This window comes from Homo sapiens, chromosome 16 (assembly GCF_000001405.40).
Source record: "Homo sapiens chromosome 16, GRCh38.p14 Primary Assembly".
NCBI lineage: Eukaryota > Metazoa > Chordata > Mammalia > Primates > Hominidae > Homo > Homo sapiens.
Window position 1 is genome coordinate 49,257,941 of NC_000016.10, and position 19,619 is coordinate 49,277,559.

At 45.4% G+C, this 19,619-nt stretch overlaps 2 annotated features.

Moving 5' to 3' along the window:
• Positions 17,242 to 17,767: an enhancer, noted in NCBI's record as "H3K4me1 hESC enhancer chr16:49309093-49309618 (GRCh37/hg19 assembly coordinates)". NCBI's record gives its function as "activates a minimal SCP1, AML or CMV promoter by ChIP-STARR-seq in naive and primed H9 embryonic stem cells {active_cell/tissue: H9 hESC(naive and primed)}" and the evidence as "EXISTENCE:reporter gene assay evidence [ECO:0000049][PMID:30033119]".
• Positions 18,294 to 18,819: an enhancer, noted in NCBI's record as "H3K4me1 hESC enhancer chr16:49310145-49310670 (GRCh37/hg19 assembly coordinates)". NCBI's record gives its function as "activates a minimal SCP1, AML or CMV promoter by ChIP-STARR-seq in naive H9 embryonic stem cells {active_cell/tissue: H9 hESC(naive)}" and the evidence as "EXISTENCE:reporter gene assay evidence [ECO:0000049][PMID:30033119]".

Consider the following 19,619-nt stretch of genomic DNA (forward strand, 5'->3'; position numbering starts at 1 on the left):
GGCAAGGATGTCCACTCTCACCACTTCTGGGCAATACAGTACCGGATTTCCTACCCAGAGTAATCAGACAAGAAAAAGAAATAAAAAGCATCTAAATCAGAAAGAAAGGAGTAAAAGTGTCTACTGTTTGCAGATAACATGATCTTACATAGTGAAAACCCTAAAGATCCACTAAAATACGGTTAGAACTAATAAATGAATTCAGTAAAGTAGCAAGATACAAAATCAACATACAAAATTCAGTTGTATTTCTCCACATATAATGAGCTAACTGAAAAATAAATAAAGAAAACAATCCCATTTGGAATAGCTTACAAAGCAATAAAATACTTAGGAATAAATTTAACCCAGGAGGTGAAAAATCTATACACTGAAAACTATCAGACAGTGATGAAAGAAACTGAAGAACACACAAATAGAACAATCTTGTGTTCATAGATTGAAAGAATTAATATTGTCAAAATGTCCATACAACCCAAGGTAATCTGCAGATTTAATGCAATTCCTATCAAAATTTCAGTGACATTTTTCATAGAGGTAGAAAGAACAATCCTAAAATTCATATGAAATGAAAAAATTTTCCAAATAGCCAAAGTAATCTTGGGCAAGAATAAAACAACATTGGAGGTATCACATTATCTAACTTCAAAATACACTACAAAGCTATAGTAATCAAACCAGATACATAGACAAATGGAACAGAATAGAAAACCCAGAAATAAATCTACACATTTATGGTTAACTGATCTTCTAAAAGGGTGCCAAGAACACACAATAGGAAAATGATCATTTCTCCAATAAATGGTTCTGAAAAAACTGAATATCTACATACAAAAGAATGAAATTGGGCCCTTATCTCACAGCATATACAAAAATCAATTCAAAATGGATTAAAGACTTAAATATAAGACCTGAAGTTATAAAACTACTAGAAGAAAACATAAGCAAAGCTCCAAGACATTGGTCTGGGCAATTATTCTTTTAAGTATAGCCCAAATAGCACAAGTAACAAAAGCAAAAGTAGACAAATGGGATTGCATCAAACTAAAATGCTTCTGCACAGCAAAGAAAATAATCAACAGAGTTAAGAGACAACCTACAGAATGAGAGAAAATATTTGTAAGCCATACATCTGATAAGAGGTTAATATTCAAAATATATAAGAAACTCAATCAATTCCAAAGCAAGAAAATAAATAACCCAATTTAAAAATGGGCAAAAGATCTAAATGGACATTTCTCAAATGAGGACATACAAATGGCCATTAGGTATCTGAAAAGGTGCTCAATGACATTAATCATTGAGAAAATGCAAATCAAAACCACAAGATACCACCTCATATCTTAGAATGGCTATTATCAAAAGGACAAAGGATAACCAGTGTCAGTAAAGATGTAGAGAAAAGAGAACCCTTGTACACTGTTGGTAGAACTGTTCCTTAATGTATGCACATTTTAAAAACTAGGAGTTTTGGGAATCCCTGGAAAGAATGCAGATGTGACAAGAGAATCTTATGTGTAATATAAGTGTATGAAGCAATCTCACTGAAAGGAATGGGAGAAAAGGTGCTGACCTAAGTAACTTTGCAAATGAGCAGAGTCTGTAAGACTAAGGGCAAAAGGAACTTCACATAAGCTTTGTACTGTAGTTGAAAAAGTTATTTCCTACATGATTGCAGATTAACAATTCTGAAATCACTACACATACATACCAGGATTGAACAATTAAGTAAATGAATGGTAGATGGTTGGAGCTAGGTTCCTTGCTGTTAGAGTGAGAATTTACAGAAAAGCAAGGAGAGGAGGCTAGAATGATCCATGTGGTAAGAGACATCAGTATGAACTCATCTTTAGCCTAGTATAAATATAAATATTTATGCCCAGAAATACTTATTGATATATGCATATGCAAGGGTTAATATACACATATATTTTCTTTCTCTGTCAGCTAAGAGGTCCTACAAGCAATGACACCCCATGACAATGAAAATACCCAATGCCCAGATCTTGGTTTCTAATACCAAAAAAAAAAAAAGAAACCAGGGCTTCTCTGCGAAATGGCTGATTCTAGGGCAGGACTAGGAAATGTTTAAAATGATCCAGGAGTGTCTTGAAGTGCCAGAAAGTGAGGAAGTTAAAAAAAAAAAAAACTACATTGAAAGGGGTATGTTAAGTGGACACAGCAGCGAACTGAAAGAATTCCTAATGCCCCAAACTGCAAGAATTTGAGCAACGAAATAAAAAAGTAATGCCTTATAATCTAATGTATAAAATAAGTATCCATGAATCTATACTGATATAAATAAATGATTGAATAAAGAGAAGAGACAAATCTTTCTTGCAAGAGAATTCAAAATAATTTATGTGCTTGGCTCTCAACAAGAGGAAGAATAATTCTTCACTCCTTAAATATATGCTGGACATAGTGACTCCCTGCCAAAGAATACAGTATAGAAAGGAGGGAAGGAGGTGGAGATTAACTTTACAGTGGAGAAACCTGAAAAACTACCTAGCCAGGTGACGAAGGTCAGTATCAACAGTGATAAGTCACACTGATAGCATGCACCATTAATAGATGTGTTGAAAAAGCACTTTACTTCTGCGGTCTTCCTCCCAAAAGTTCATAACTCGTCTATAATCATGAGAAAATATTAGATAAATTCTCATAGAGGGGTATCCTACAAACATTTGACAGTACTCCTTGGAACTGCCAAGGTCATCCAAAGGAAACTTCTGAGAAACCATTACAGCCAAGAGGAGCCTAAGGAGACGTGCTGACTAAATATAATCTAGTGTCCTGGATGGGATCCTGGAACAGAAAAAGAAGTTAGATAAAAACTAAGGAAACCTGAAAAAGCATGAACTTTAATCATAATTTATGATTATTAAAATTGGCTCATTAATTGCAACAAATGTACCATACTAATGTAAGATGTTAATAACAGGGGAAGCTGGGTGAGAGGGAAACTCCGTGTTTCTATATGGAAACTTTCTGTGTTATCTTCTCAATTTTTCTGTAAACCTACAATGGTTCTAAAAAATAAAGTGTATTGAAAACAAAATTACTTCCTCCCTGAAGTCCTCTGCCTCCCCCGAGATCCCGTGGGACTTGGCACCTCTGTCTACTGTGGCACTGACCACATCTGCACATATCTATCCCCAGCAGTTCCTAAACCTCTGCCACAGCACCATCCCTGCCATCGTTTGAGAAAAGGGGATTGCGTTTTCTGAGAACTGCTTTAAATACAACGACCTGTGCTTGCATGCAGATGTCCTGGTCTGTTCCTGAAATAGCCCATCCCACTTCCTGTCACCAACTCCAAGGACACTGCTGTCTCCATTAGGGGACTTGGGTGTCCCATGTGGACTGACACCTTCCCTTCAGAGGCCAGGGATCACTTCGGCTTATTCCAAGATGAAGCTCCAGGACCAGAATCCAGTCAAGCTCCCTCCCCTTTTGCCCAACTGCTCTCCACCTCCTTTCTGGGGCTCAGGGACCCTCTCTGCCTCAACGGCGATCAGTTGCCTAGAATCAGGAATGCAAGCTTTAGTTGGGATTGTTTTCCCCACCACCTGAAGCAGTTAAGAAGTTCTATTTTTAAAGCCCTTGGTTTCTGTCTGTCTCGCTCAGAGGGTGGCTGGTGCTCCAGGACTCTGCTCAGGATAAATGCTCCATCTTTTGCTCTTCTCTCTCTCTCGGCTTTTATGCCATCGCCAATATCATCCTCCCCCTGGTGCTGTCAGGGAAGCTGGGCTTGTAATTCTTCCAGGGAAGGCATTAGAAAGAAAGAAATTAAGTTCAATCAAAGTGTCAGGCCTGAATTGTTTGTGTGTGGAGGTGCAGGTGAGAGGAGCTTAATAAGTTCACCTCTGTGCCTCAGTCTTCCCCTGTCTTCTCTCCCCCCCTACCCCACCATACTGTAGGCACTTGACCTTCATTAGGTGACCAGAGGGGCTAATCAAATAAACTAGTCCCAATCCTGTATCAGAAGCCAATCATAGCAGCAGTCTCAAGAGGATAGACTTGGCTATAGGAACATACATACACACACACACTCACACAACACATACACACACACTCACATGCACATACACACATATATACATATACACACACATATATATACACAAATACACATATACATGTATACACACATGCACACACATACACATAGACACACATACACATGCACAAATATATACATACATGCACACACATACACATAGACACACATACATACACACACATAAAAATACACACACATACACACATGCAAACACATATATACACATACACACATGCACACACATACACACACATGCAGAGCAACCACTGAAGTCTTTGTAACATGACAACATGGGCTAAGACCCAATTGTCTTGGTGTCCCCCTCAGCCAGCTCATCTCTGCCAAGGCTTCTTGACCCATCTTAACGCTGGTGAGGCTGAAGTCTATTCCTTCAGCTCAGACCTGTCCTCTAGCCTCCAGACCCTGATATCTTGCTGTCTGTTTGCCATTGACATGTAATACCTCAAAGGAACCTCGAATTCCATGTCCTCACTGACCTCACTACCCCTCCCCACCATTTAGTTCTTCCCTCAAGGAGTAGCAGTGCATAGCATAACCAGAAATCTCAGAGAAATCAGAGACCACCCCCCATGCCTCTCTCCCTGCGCTGCATCCTAATCCATCACTAAATCCTCAGGATTTAGCCCTAGATAGCTCTCAAATCCATCTAGTGTTCTCTAACCTCACTGTCACGGCCCTAGTCCACCTGCCTTTATCCCTGAGCCTGGTGGCCATCACAGCCTTGCCAGTATCTGCCTGCTTCCATTCCTGTCCCTGTCCAGGCCATCCCCTTCCCCACAGCCCCCATGGCGTTCTGTACATGTACAGACAATCGTAGCACTCCTCTGCTTTAAATCTTCCTACACGGGCCCATTGCTCTCAGAATGAAGGCCTAAATCCTCACCCTGGCCTGCCAGGACTTCCACGATCTGACTCCTGCAGCTCTCCAGCCTCATCCTGACCTCTTTCCCACCCTTACTTTTGGGGCAACACTATCTCTTCCTCAGTCTTTCCAGTGCTTCCACAGATTCATGATATTTTCCACCCTTGGGGCGTTGCCCATGCTATTCTTTCTGCCTGGAATGTTCTCTCCCCACCCAATCTTGGCCTAGCTAATTCCTAACTTCAAATCTCAGCTCAACATCACACTCGCTGAGGGCTCATTGTTCTTCATGTAGGCATTTGGTCCATAGTATTTATAACTCTTTGTGGTTATGTAACACAATATTATTATTGAGTTAAGGTGTACCTACTAGCTTGAGAGCAGGGACTGTGTCTGGTTCATGCTATAGTCTAGGCCCCTGGAACAATATCTGGCTCATTGTAAGGTTCAATAGCTGCTTTTTTGTTCCTTTTTTCTTTTTTTTTTTAAATTATACTTTAAGTTCTGGAGTGCATGTGCAGAATGTGCAGTTTCGTTATGTAGGTATACACGTGTCATGGTGTTTGCTGCACCCATCAACCCATCACCTAAATTAGGTATTTCTCCTAATGTTATCCCTCCCCTAGCCCCCCACCCCCTGACAGGCCCCAGTGTGTGATGCTTCCCTCCCTATGTCCATGTGTTCTCATTGTTCAACTCCCACTTATAAGTGAGAATATGCGGTGTTTGGTTTTCTGTTCTTGTGATAGTTTGCTGAGAATGATTGTTTCCAGCTTCATTCATGTCCCTGCAAAGGACATGAACCCATCCTTTTTTGTGGCTGCATAGTATTCCATGGCATATATGTGCCACATTTTCTTTATCCGGTCTATTATTGATGGACATTTGGGTTGGTTCCAAGTCTTTGCTATTGTGAATAGTGCCGCAATAAACATACATGTGCATGTGTCTTTATAGCAGAATGATTTATAATCCTTTGGTATATACTCAGTAATGGGAATGCTGGGTCAAATGGCATTTCTAGTTCTAGATCCTTGAGGAATCACCATACTGTCTTCCACAATGGTTGAACTAATTTACACTCCCACCAACAGTGTAAAAGCGCCCCTATTTCTCCACATCCTCTCCAGCATCTGTTGTTTCCTGATGTTAGAATGGTGATCATTAAAAATGGCTGCTTTTATATAAATACATGGGTCCTCCTAAGAACTCTGACAAGTAGGATTTTATTATCCTTCTTCATATCTGGCTCAGAAATACTCTACAACTTACCCAGGTCACACAACTGTTTGTAACAGAGACAAGCTTTGGACAAGACCTAGATGCCTCTAAAGCCCATGCTCCTGATCAGTATTTATACTGCCTTGTCCCTCTTCGTTCATGGGACCTATGGGCTAGGTATGTCCAGAGACTTCCTTCCTTCTGACCAAACACTACTCATGCAGGGGGAGAGGGTAACGAACCCCACAGAGCCAGGGCGTGAGGGTCAAGACATACACAAATCCTATGGAGAAAGCACTTGCCTTATTGGTCACCCAGCATATCACTATATGTGCACACCTTTTGTTAGTCTTATGAATAATAACTAACATTTACTACAAATGGCCAAAAAAATATGAAAAATGCTCAACATCACTAATGATCAGGGAAACGCAAATCAAAAGCACAATGTGATACCAACTTACTCCTGCAAGAATGGCCATAAGCAAAAAATCAAATAATGGTAGATGTTGGCGTGGATGCGGTGAACAGGGAACAGTTCTGCATTGCTGTTGGGAATGTAAACTAGTACAACTACTATAAAAAACAATGTGTAGATTCCTTAAATAACTAAACGTAGAACTACCATTTGCTCCAGCAATCCCATTGTTGGGTGTCTACCCGAGGAAAAGAAGTCATTCTATGAAAAAGGTACTTGCACGTACATGTTTAAAGCAGCACAATTCACATTTGCAAAAATGTGGAACCAACCCAAATGCCCATCACACAGCAAGTGGATAAAGAAACTATGGTATATACATACAATGGAATAGTACTCAGCTATAAAAATGAATGAATTAATGACATTCACAGCAACCTGGATGAAATTGAAGACTATTATTCTAAGTGAAGTATCACAGGAATGGAAAACCAAACATCATATGTTCTCACTCATAAGTGGGGGCTAAGCTATAAGGATGCAAAGGCATAAGAATGACACAATGGACTTTGGGGACACAGGAGAAAAAGGTGGGAAGGGGGTGAGGGATAAAAGGCTACAAATCGGGTTCAGTGTATACTGCTCGGGTGATGGGTGCACCAAAATCTCACAAATCGCTACTAAAGCACTTACTCATGTAACCAAACACCACCTGTTCCCCAATAACCTACAGAAATAAAAAAAAATTAAGAATAATAACTAACATTTGCTGGGTGCCTACTGTGTGCCTTGTACCATTTTAAGTGTCTCACATATTCCTTTAATTAAGCCTCACCACCATCTGATGACGTGGCCATTATTATTATCTCCATTTTCAGGGGAGAAAACTGAGGCCCACACAAAAGAATAAATAACTTACTGAAAGCTACACAGCTGATCAGGGCAGAGCTGGAATACAAAGCCAGACAGGCTATGCCTCAAGAGCCCACATTTTCAGCCATCACTTCAACCAGAGAAACTTACTTGGCTCCGCTGTCTACAGCTTTGGGCAATCAAGATGCCCAGTCTGCCCCTAGATGAAGCTGTCTGGGTTTGTATCCCAGCTCTGCCCTGATCAGCTGTGTAGGTTTCAGCAAGTTATTTATTTTGTGTGTGTGGGCCTCAGTTTTCTCAAGTGAAAAATGAAGAGTCTTCTCTCTAGGGACATTAAATGTTGAGCTTAGTGACACAAGAATAAAAATCACTGTCGTTGATACATCGTGAAGGTGGGATCCCAAAGGCACTGTCATCATTCCTGTCCCCTAGAACCCACAGCTCAGAGCTGTCCTCCTGCTCCCTGTCTTTTCCTGAGCCCACTTCTTTAGCTTTCACTTCAATGCTGTGTGCTGCCCCAGGGCATAGGAAGAAATTCCTTTTTGCCTAAAATAGACAATTTCTGTTCTTTGCAACCAGAGTCCTCATAGAACTCCCAGTTGAGGCTCAAATCATGGACTATGGCCTTTGATGTTCTATGGCAGGTTTTCTTACACTTGGATATTAAGCCAACACTGTATCAAAAAAAAAAAGAGGGCAGCAGGGAGCTCAGTGCCTGTCACAGGGAAACTCAAGGAGGTGGTGGAGAAAGGACAGGGGCCTCCTAGATCAGGAGGGGGATCAGGGATGCCCAGCCCAGGAATGGGTATGAGAAAGGCAAGAAGGTGGATGCTCACATTCAAAGGGGCAAGCAGATCCAAGAGTGGCATTGGTCAGGGAGGGACAGCAGACAAGGTGGCTTTGGCAGTGTGAAGGAAAATGACAAGAGTCAGGTGGGCAGGCTCTCCAGCAGGTACAGTTTGTATAACAGCCTTTGTGAAGCCACCTTCAGCATCCATGCAGAAGCCAGACAGAAACACAGTGTGCAGCAATGGGCTGTCACCATTAAGGCAGAAAGTAAGGATGCAGTAACCACATGGCCTGCCTCCCAGGCATCCTATGGAGAAGTGAACGTGTTAGCCAATACAGGCGGGATGCCCCTTTCTCCTGCAAGACACACTGATGCTAATTACACTTCTCAGATGAACTCCTCAGTATTACAGAAGTAACATCATTTGTATAATCAGATTTCACTATGGGAAATAATAAGTAACCCCATTTCCCTCCCACATTCCACTCCACCCTGAAAACGACACATAATCAGAGGGAAAGATGAGAGGCTGATTCAGCAGATGTTGATTCACTACCTCTATGCCATCATCCATGCCAGGTGTTGGGAGCAATTGTTTACAAAACTGGGCTGCAAATCAAAATTCACACATAGGACTTGTAAAACTGCAGAGGGTCCAGACCCAGCCGAGAGCTACTGGATCAGAATATTAGGAGCAGGAACCAGCAGGTGCACTTCACACAAGCTACTGGGTGAAGCTACTGGCTGAAGAGTAGATGAGGCCAGAGATTTAGTGAGGTAGGGTGGGATGCAGGACAGATCATAAAGGGCCATGACAAATAGCTTAAATTTTATTGTAAATGAGCAGGAAACCCATTTGGAAGTTTAGCAGAGGAGTGCCATAATCTGACTCACATGCTGTGGCTGCAGTGGGGAGAATAGATGTAGGACAACAAGACAGCAGGCCACAAGACAAATGGGGTGACTGCCATTGTCCAAGGGGGAGGTGATGGTGGCCTGGATCAGCTGACTTTTGGGTTTATTTTAAGGGTAAAGTGGATATGACTTTGGAGATGGATTGGATATCAAGTGTAAAAGAGTAAGACGAGTTCAGGATAATGCCAGAGTGTCTGGTCTGGGCTACCAGAAGCATGGGGTTACCATTAACTGAGAAGGAAAAGACTTCGACAGGAGCAGCTTTGGAGACAGAAGACCAGGGGCTCCATTTTAAACATGGTATATCTGAGATGCATGTTAGCCATGTGAGTGAATATGCGGAGTGAAGAGTTGGGTATCAGAGTCTAGGGTTAGGATTGAGGCTGGGTGGTCCTTTAATTTTCTGTGCTATTTTTCAGTTTTCATTTGGAAATCTTCCTCCTCCTTCTACACACACACAGACACACACACACACACACACAAACACACACAATCCTTGAGGCTTAAATGAAGTGGACTCTACTCTCTAACTTGATGAGGGGGAAATGACTTAGACCACCAATTCGAACCTGCATTGCCTTTCCATAGAAATGGTTTTAGAGATTGGCATAAGATTCCTTTACAATTTCTTCCACAAAAGATTCCTTTTCTTCTGTGGAAAAAAACCACATTTGTGACATAATTAAATAACAATACCAGGGTGCATGAACATGAGAACTTTTCAAAGACTTTTGAGATCGAGGACTTGAAGCAGAGACAATGAAAGAGTTGGAGCTTCTGCAGCTGTATTGTGACTGTGAGGAGTGAAGGGAACTGAGTGCATGAGATAGACAGAGACCAGGCATGAATGATCAAGTTATGTCGGCAGCGATCTTTGTCTTTCATACTTACTTTTCTGTTATATGAGCCACCGGTAAATTCTCTTCCAAAAGAAAAAAACCTTCCAGGTCTGCCATAACTCGTCTGTGGACTGGTATTTGGAAATAACTATGGTCTATATATGGTCCTATGCCATCACAACTCAAGTGTGGTGTGCAAACTCATAACATGGGAGCTTGTTAGAATCGGGAAATCTCAGGCCCTAGCCCATATCAAAGGAATGAGAATCTTCCTCTTAATGAGATCTCCAGATGATCTGTATGCATGAATAAGCATTATTAGGCCACAAGGAGCTTGTGCTCTTCTGCAGAAAAAAAGACACATTTGTGATATAATTAAATAACAATGCTAGGGTGCATAAGCATTGGCAAAATTGCCTTGGGAGCAATAGTAATAACAACTCTACTATTTACTGTGCACTAACTCTGGGAAGGAGCTGCCCATCTCACTATCAGTTGGCTCCACAGCAATGCAAAGAAATACCAGCTGACTAATGGTACGGGATCCAGCCATAACTGGCATACAGCTGTGAGCAAAGAAGAGCCTTTGGAGCATGCTTCAGGAGGCATCTCACAATTCTAACAAAGACCAAGACATGCTCAAAATTATATTACACCATTCGGTAAAATACAGACATTTGCTTTTGAACCCCTGTGGAAATTCTAGTTCCCATTTTCATAGGTAATGACTTATCAATCCTAATAGAACTAGACATTATTGCTCCATTCATTTTAACAGATGAGCAAACCAAAGCTCAGAGATGTTAAGCTCTCCACCTAAAGTCACACAGCCAGGAAGTAGCCAACCTCACATGCATTCCCCTCTTTAGTAACAGCTGCTCCCAGATAAGGCTCCCTCTTCCCAACTCCATCTCCACCCCCACCTGGCTCCATGCTTGGCCAATTAGCTCATTTCTTTTTCTGTGACCATACAGATTGGTTCTGGGAATGCACATGACTTAGAGTTAGTTGAATATCCATCAGCTGTGGAATTTTTGCTGGCACTGTAGGGGAGAAAAGTGCTCTTTTCCTAATGGGGAAACTAGGCAAGGAGAATGTGAGCCTGTTATTGCTCGAGTCAAATTGTCACAATTAGGGACCTAGAAATAGGCCTGCCTGTGTGAAAAAGGGCTGATTTCTGATGATGTATTTAAGCATCTGGATTCAGCCATACCTGAATTCAACACCCCTTGGATTTTTTGGTTCTGGGAGTGAGTAAATTCTTTTGGGAGGGTGGTACTAAAGCCAGTTTGAGCTGAGTTTCAGTCATCTGAAACCACAAGAGTCCTGAGTACAGTTATAAAGTCAGTCTTCAAAACCAGCTCTGCTTCAAAGCCTATTCTCTTAATCAGTGCTTGCTACTCTGCCATACAACAGGGGTGAAATCCAAAGGTCATGAAAATTGAGTTGGATCATGAGGCACTTACAATGGTGTGGGAGTGGCTTAATGCAAGTGAAATAGACAGCCAAGTCCCTAACATTACTTTCTTATCCTTCTCTGTACTACACTCTCTTGTGCTGGACTGTGGGTGAGGCAGGCTCCCCGCCTGGTTTTTCTACGGACCTGCAGAGCAGAGCTGCTGCTGGGCAGGTACGCAGAGATTCTGAGGTCAGTATTGTCGAACCAATGTTTTGATTGACAACTCCAAGCCACCTAGGTATTTCTGTGGTGGATATTTTACAGTCTGAGGATAAGTATCTTTTCTCAGCAGCTTTAGACTCACATTGCTGCTATTTCTGCCCCCACTGCTCCCTTCTCCCATCTTGGGGAGAGTCACGAAGCTGCTTCTGTCTTATGCATGACTCTTCAGGCCTCACTCTCATCCCTGAGTCCTCATCTCAACACCCACTTCTGCTCCGTGTTGAGCAACAGCTCCAGGAATGGCATCCAGAATGCTTTTCATCTCTGCCCCAGACCAAAGCCCCTCTGCTCCTTGTTCTCTGTTTCCCACTTGCAGGATAACTTCTGCAAGAAAAAATTCAATAATTCACAGCTAACGTCAGTTTTCCCTAGCCCAATCACATGCTTGAGCTGAATTATGCAATTTTAACAGCAGATATTAACAAGGAAAAGGCCCATTTATTGGGCATGTGGCTAAGAGACCAGTTTTCCAGCTGCATCCTTGAGCTCACAGCTCCTGATGCACTTCCCCTCAATATGAAGATGGTTTCTGGTGGGTGACAAGTTTAATGGCTCCCATGGACCTCAGCTTCTCCTGAGCTCCTGAGGAGAGGGACTAATGAGGAGATGGCTCTGCTCTGATGGAGCAGAAGCCCTGAGCTCTGGGGACCAGGACTCTATGGCTGGTTTGCCATTCCATCATTCATACATGAATCAAGCCCCTACTATTCTAGGCTCTCTTCCAATCACTGAGAATAAAGTAAGACAAAAGGCAGCAAGGTTCCTATCCCCAGGGAGGGAGAGAGGCAGTAAACAAGTGAACAGATAAATGAGCATTTTCCAGGGTCACAACTGCCATAAGGAAAATAAAGCAAGGCAGTATGATAGAGCTCAGCTGGTAAAGAAGAGGTGTCTCAATATTAGACAGAGTGATCAGGATGGTGCCTCACTGCAAAGGTGACTTTTTAGCTCAGATACAAAAGTAGAGAAGGAAATGGCCACAGCAATAAGTGGGAGATGGAAGAGTATCCCTTGCGCATAAAGGATCGACAGGTGAAGATTCTGGGACAGGACACAGCTTGGCATATTCTAGGAACTAACAGAAATCCAGAATGAGCTAATTTGCAATAGAGAAAAACAATAGAGGATGATGTCTCAGAAGTTAGCAGAGGCCCCATCACGGAAGGCTTGGAGGCTACTATAAGGAGTTTTGGTTCACACTGGATAGTTTTAAGCAGAAGAGTCACTTGACTTAGTTTACATTTTGAGAAGCTCACTCTGGCAAGTGAGGAAAAAATGGGTTAAGAAGAGTCCTAAGAAGGCTCACAGCCAGGCTCAAGCATGTAATCCCAGCACTTTGAGGCAGGTAGATTGCTTGAGGTCAGGAGTTTGAGACTAGCCTGGCCAACACAGTGAAACCCCATCTGTACTAAAAAAAAAAAAAAAAAAAAAAAAAAAAAAAGGAGGCAGGCGTGGTGGCTCATGCCTGTAGTCCCAGCTATTGGGGAGGCTGAGGCAGGAAGATCATTGGAACCTAGAGGCAGAAGCTGCAGTGAGCCGAGATCAAGACACTGCACTCCAGTGGGCAACAGAACTAGACTTCACCTCCCCCCACCCCACCCCTCTACCACTCCCCAAAAAAAAACAAAAACAAAGAAGACTCCCATCAGATCTCTAAGAGCTAGCCATCAATGACTTTTTCTGTGGGCTGGGGCTATAAGGCAGGATGCTAGTCACAACTTTAAGCTGGAAACGCAGACACAAAGACCCTTATTGCTGTCTGTGGAGTCTTACATTGCATAGACTTCAAGCTAGCATGAGACCCTAGAGGCTGTGTGGTGTCACTCCTCGGGGAACAGACTTGTTTCTGCTCTCAGCCTGGATCCCAACTTTTCATGACAGAGACAGGGACATATTTAGGCAATCAAGGAAAACAGCTGCAAACTTCACAGCCTCAAAGAGCACCACTGTCACTCACTTTGATGCAGGAGGTTATTGAGGCCTACATGCTGGTGAACCTGCCAAGTAAGTCCCCACTTGGGAGGCATCGAGAGCCCAGAGCAGGAGGAAGAAAATGCACCAGACACCCAGATGCCATGTGAGGATGAGCTGTGAGTTCGCACCCACAGCTCAATTAGTATTGCTAACATGCCCTCTCCCTCAGCACCTTCAGAATAAGTAAATAATCCATCTACCTGAAATGAACTCCAAAAAGAGAGAAAAAGAGAGAGCATTTGGAACATTTGCTGAGACCTAAATTGACCAACTTTGATCAAGATGAGTTAGTAAAATAGCAGGCTCCTCATCAGCTGCATTTTAATGCCATATTTGGAGCCACTCAGTCATTATAAAATCATCTGAACTTCTCAGCAGAAGTACACATTGGAGAGTTTATTTTTGAGTCTCTCAGAATACAAAGGAGAGCCTTTCCAATTCAAGATCTGGGCAGAACACACAGCTTCCTTTTAAATGAGCCAGAAGAAAATGCCCAGTTGCCGCTCCTTTGTTAGTAATTCCCTCTTCCCTCTTTGAAAGTTTCCCTGAAAGTGTGCAGTAATTTCTGATGATGGAAGAAAAGGCTCTTGAGCCTCACCTGAGTAAGCAGGTTGCTGCGACTAGCAGAGCATTCCAGAGACCCTTTGTCAGGCTGAACTCCCAACTGGACACTGGGTCTGAGAAATGTAGGGGGTTGGGGGAGTCTTTGATTTTATTTAGAAGAAACCAGTCAAGCCCACTCCACCTCCATGATCTGCAGGAGAACCCAAAGCTATGATGGGATTTCAGAGTTCATTCTGCTTCCAGCCAGAACAAAAACCCAGTGACCTTATGGCCATCCATGAACAAGGAATTACCAGCCCCCTCATTGGCCAAGACCCTGTATGGCTACTTTTTACATCTGGCCAGTGTGCCAGTACCATGGGAAAGCCTGCTGGTTAGCAATCTCTGATCTTTGTTACCTACCACTATCACTAAGGCGGCAATGCCCATTCATTGCCACAGGCTGAATGGCTTGATCCTGGATTAAACAACCAATCAACCAATACCAAATCCCATTATTGAATGCTGGTGGGAAAAGGAGAGTATCCCTCTCCTTTAAGGAAAATAAAATATGGTCCCTGCCCTCTAAGGTGCTCAAAGTATGTTGGGCATGGGGACAAACAGCATACAAAAACAACTTGTGCTATAGAGTTGACTCCAGACAACAGGTACAATGCAATTCCGTTCCAAAATAAACATTCAGGGGAACAGTGAGGATTTAGAGAGGAGCACAGTGCCAAGCCTGCACCCTAGAATCTCACAGTCCCATGAGTCCCACTTCCAAAGTATTATACATATAATTCCTCATTCATTCATTGGAGAAATACTTTTCATGCTGACTGTGCTCCAAACACTGTGCTAGGCACTGAGGACACAGCTATAAACAAAGCAGAGAAGACAGATACCTTTGTGGAGTTCCCAGTCTGGTGGGCCAGGCAGATGCATTCACAATGCCACCAGTAATCCCTCCATCCATCTGTTCACGCAGTCATATGCTCACTTTCTCACGCATTCAAGGAACAATGAAAGAGCATTTACCACCCCTGGCACTGAGCTAGGCATTGGGCACGCTGCAGGGAGCCTGCAGATGAGGGCCTGATCCTCTTAGAGCTTAGCATGCAGCAGAGATGTGGGCAGGGCGTGATCTGAATAGGAGAGTTCAGGTGGTCAGCAGAGGACAAGCTAATGAATAGGGGTCAGGGAGGGCTTTGCCAATGAGGTACAGGGTATAGGAATGTGCTCAAATAGAGCACTGAGGTCAGGTTGGAGTCTGCTCAGATGAGGCACCCTGATCCCTCACCTTATACCCCTTCCTTGAAGTCTTTGGAGCTTAGCAAGATGAACAAAGATCTCCCTAGGCTCTGGGCTGTGGCCACACAACCAGAAAACCTCTGCTTAGAATCACGAGGCTCTCCTTCCTGATATCAGCAGCGTTGTGTTTCCTTGCCACCTCCTAAAGTGCAGGCAGCCTCATCTATGAACAGCAAAGCATTTTCCCAGTAAGAAGACCGAGCAACAAATCCAAATGCCAGCCCATACATCTGATTCTGGCCTCTTTCTCATTGTCCCTGCTCACTACCTTCTCAGGATCACAGCTGGGACTTGCTGGGGACAGGCTAGGCTCAGATTGAAATGTGAAGAACAGATAAAAGCAAGTGCAGGTACCTAGAACGGTTTCTGTCTCTGCCCAGGATCTGGGAGCACTTCCATTCCAGCTTTGTTCCTGTTAGTGATATAGGGGGTGGGGAGACGGGAGGGACTGAGAGGTCCAGGAAGTCCCCTGAAGGGCACTTTCATTGGCTGTGTCCATATCCTGCAACTGTGCCAGACACAGTTTGGGTTAGCTCATGACATGATCACAGGCCACCTGCTCTGTGCCAGGCACTGTGTAGGAGGCACAGGGCCAGGCAAGATGAGGAAGACACAGTTCCCACCCTGGAGGGCTCACCCTCTGCAGGGACACAGACATGCCAACAGAGCTCTTAGTCTGATGGGAGAGCCTGCAGACACGCAGAGAACATTCATCCACAGTGGTCGACGCAAATATACAAGCAAAGGGATGAAGACGAAAGATATTTAGGGGGTAAAATCTCCTATTCTTGTGGTTGATGTGTGTGAGGATGGGATGAGTGTGCAGGAACAAGAAAGAACACAGGGTCCTTTTCCTACATCCACCATTCAGGTTCGCTTGCTCTCTGGTTTCAGTTTTCGCATCTGTTTGATGCTGCTGGGATTACCCAGATGTTCCCATATGTCCTGTTTCTGTGACTGTGGGATACGCCAGGTGTCGATCGCTCCTTGGTATTGCTGGATTTATTCAGCACCTACTATGTGTCAGGCAGTGGTGAGCACTTTCTGGACCTTTTAGCATAGTCTTCACGACTACCCTGTTGTGAAGGCATTATTGTTCCCATTTGAAATGTGAGGACGCTGAGGCTCTCGGGGAGTGTGTATGTATCCGCTATGCAAAGAGATTGAGAGATCTTTGTAATCCCCCCTGGGCAATCCCACCCCGCCCCCGCCTTTTTTTTTCTCCGTGGAATTAGCTCAAAGGGAGCTGTGCCTGAGCTTTTTCCCTCTGTGCTTGACCTTCGGTTCCGGGGCACCACTACCCCCCTCTCTCTGCCCACTTCCCCACCCAGAGTCAGTATTAGGTTTCAATGTTTTGTTTGAAAGCCTGTGGAGGTGACTAGGCCCAGCCCCTGCGGGAGATGGGTGGCTGGACACCGACACTGATCAGAAAGTAAGACCTCCTGGAAGTAACACTAGAAGTCTTCTAGCCCACCCCTCGCATTTGTGAGTTGAAAAAAAGTAAGGCTCGTATTCGGGGAGAGTATTCTAAGGTCTCATATGAAGCCAGAGGCCAAGTGCAGGGCACACGTCCGCAGTTCAGGGTCTTTAGCCTTCCATTGGGTCCGCCCCGCCCCAGGACCCAACCTGCAATCTGTGGGAGAGTCCCACACCTTCCCTCCGCGCCGCACTATCCCCCACCACCACCTCATTAAGGCAACAATTAAGGAGAGGGGTGAGGCTCCCTCTCCATCTGGGTAATTGTGTTCTCATTAAGAGCGGATGCGCCCGGGCTCTGAGCATTAGCGCTCCAGTGCAGCTTGGAAGGCATGCTCCCAGCTCGGCTAATGGTGGAAGCGGCGGCCGGGCAGCAAGCGAGCTGGGGGGCAGGCGCGGGGCCCAGCGCAACCCAGCGCTGCTCCGCAGACAGCAGACACCACAGTGATCACCCTCGGCTCCTCGCCTGCGCGGCTCCCGGGGCGCTTAGCGCGGTGTGGAGAACCCGGGCGGAGAAGCCAGGTCTGGGCTTGTTGGGTCCTAGAAGCCTCCCTGAGTTCCCCTCACAGTACCTTTAAGCCTGGCTGGGTGCCGGAAACGCTGCGCAGAATAGGAAACAGCCTCTGCCCTGGGAGAACTGACGGGGTGTGGGGAGGGAGGAGGCAGGCTGGTAAGAGAGGCCACACTCCAAAGTGGGAGGCCAGAGCAGAAAGGCATGAAAGGCTTCCCGGAGGAGGTGACCAAGGTGACCTGGGCTGGGGAGGAGCCTTTGGGACCAGGGTAAGGCTGAATGAAGGGGTGGCTTTGGAACCCCTACAGGCTTTGCTCTGAAGGGGTTTATTTGAGATGAAAGCAAGAGGCGGGGCCCAAAGGATTCTAAGCATGAAAGGATTCCACTGTGAGGTGTGGGTTTCTGAATCGGTCCCCTTCCTAGCCTCTGGCTGGGGGAAAGCAAGTAGTCTCTACCTAGTGCCCCTCCTTTTCCATCTCTTAGTCTCCAAGTCTCTGGTTCCCTCCCAGCTGAAGCCCAATGCTCAGAAGGTGGCTCCCCTGCCTCTAGCAGAAGTAACACTCACCTCACCTTCACCCCAGAGGTGAGGGAGGTGGCCCAACCGCATGTGCCAGGACCCTAAGGCCTCGAACCTCCAGGTCCCTGGGGAGAGCTATCCACAGCCCCACTCAGGCCACTGGGAGGCTCAGGCCTGACGGTGAGGGCAGTTTGAGAGATATGGAGCCCCACATCTCCCCAGGCCCTCTGGGGCGTGGACGCCAGGTTAGCATGCTAAGGGCTGTGTGGGCTGCCTCTGCCCCATGGAACCCACACAGAGTAAGAGACAAGCTCAGCCCCAGATGTCTCCCTTCCCAACCAGCACAAAACAAGGCCTGGTTGGAAGGTGCAGAAGGGGTGTTGAACCTCGGGGAGCAATGCCTGTATGTGTGGGTAGAATATCTTCCCAGGGGAGGCAGCCTTTCAGCTGGACTTCTTGGGTCCTCAGCAGGATAGGATTTTGCAAAGCGGAGTAGAGAAGGGGTGCTTCAACTTCAATCAGGAACAGCAGGTGTGGAGGCATAAAGACAACAATGGGAGGTGGAATCATCAGATGGCAAGGGAAGGGGTCAGCAGGTGGAGAAAGAAGAGGGAGAAAGAAGAGGGAGGCTAGAGCCCAATCAAGAAGGTTCTCCGATACTAGGTTCGGACATTGTGGGAGGCAGGGATCCTTTCCCAGGAAGGAGGTCTGCTGAACTACAGCAGAATCAAAGGAAAATCAACCCCTCTTCTTCGAATTTGGGGACAATTCACTCCCACTGTACTCACTTTCCAGGCTGCAGAGCTAGGGCTCAGGAATGAGTCCCAGTTCCAGGATGCACAGGCTTCCCCTGGCCTGCACCCTAGCCCGAGGCTTAGCACTCAGGAGCTGCCACTTGGCAGCCAGGTAAGCACAGGCTGCAGCCAGGACTCACTCACCCAGGAAAAAGAATCTGCAGACTCCCGGTCTGGGAGCAGAGGAGGGCTGGATCCACAGAGCAGGAGGAACTCTGAGAGGTGTTTAGATTTCTCCCTGTCTTTATATAAATGGGCAAATTTAGGACCTGATAGCGGACTTGCCAAAGTCACTCCACCGGGACACAGCCTGGTGGCCCCACAGAACAGGCAGCCACGGAGACCAGAACCCTGGTGGTTCTTGCCCTCAGGAAGAGAGGTGACCCACCCACCTGCAGCCCAGGGAGCGCCAAAGCGTACAGGGGCAGCTTCCTTGAGCGGTGGCTCTCCAACCTTCGCGGCCCTACAGCCTCAAGCTTACACGCACCCTACTGACTATAGGGTCTCCACAAGCCCGGAGGGCTGGCCCTGCAACGGCAGAGCTGCTGGGTGGAGCTAGTTTCGCTGCCAAAGGCTCCAACTGTCTCCGACCTCTCCTTCCCAACCAGGAGACTTCGGAGAAAGCGCGTCTCTTTATTAAAAGCAGTTTTTCTTTAAATCCCTTTAAGGCCCCTTATTTCTTCTCATTCACACTTCCCTGGGGCCTAACAGAGTAGAAGGGAAACTGTTGGGCAGAAACAGAAAAGTACTCGGGTCCACTCCTCACTCGCGAAGTCCCTATCTATCTCTGTGGGTCCCGGAGGCACA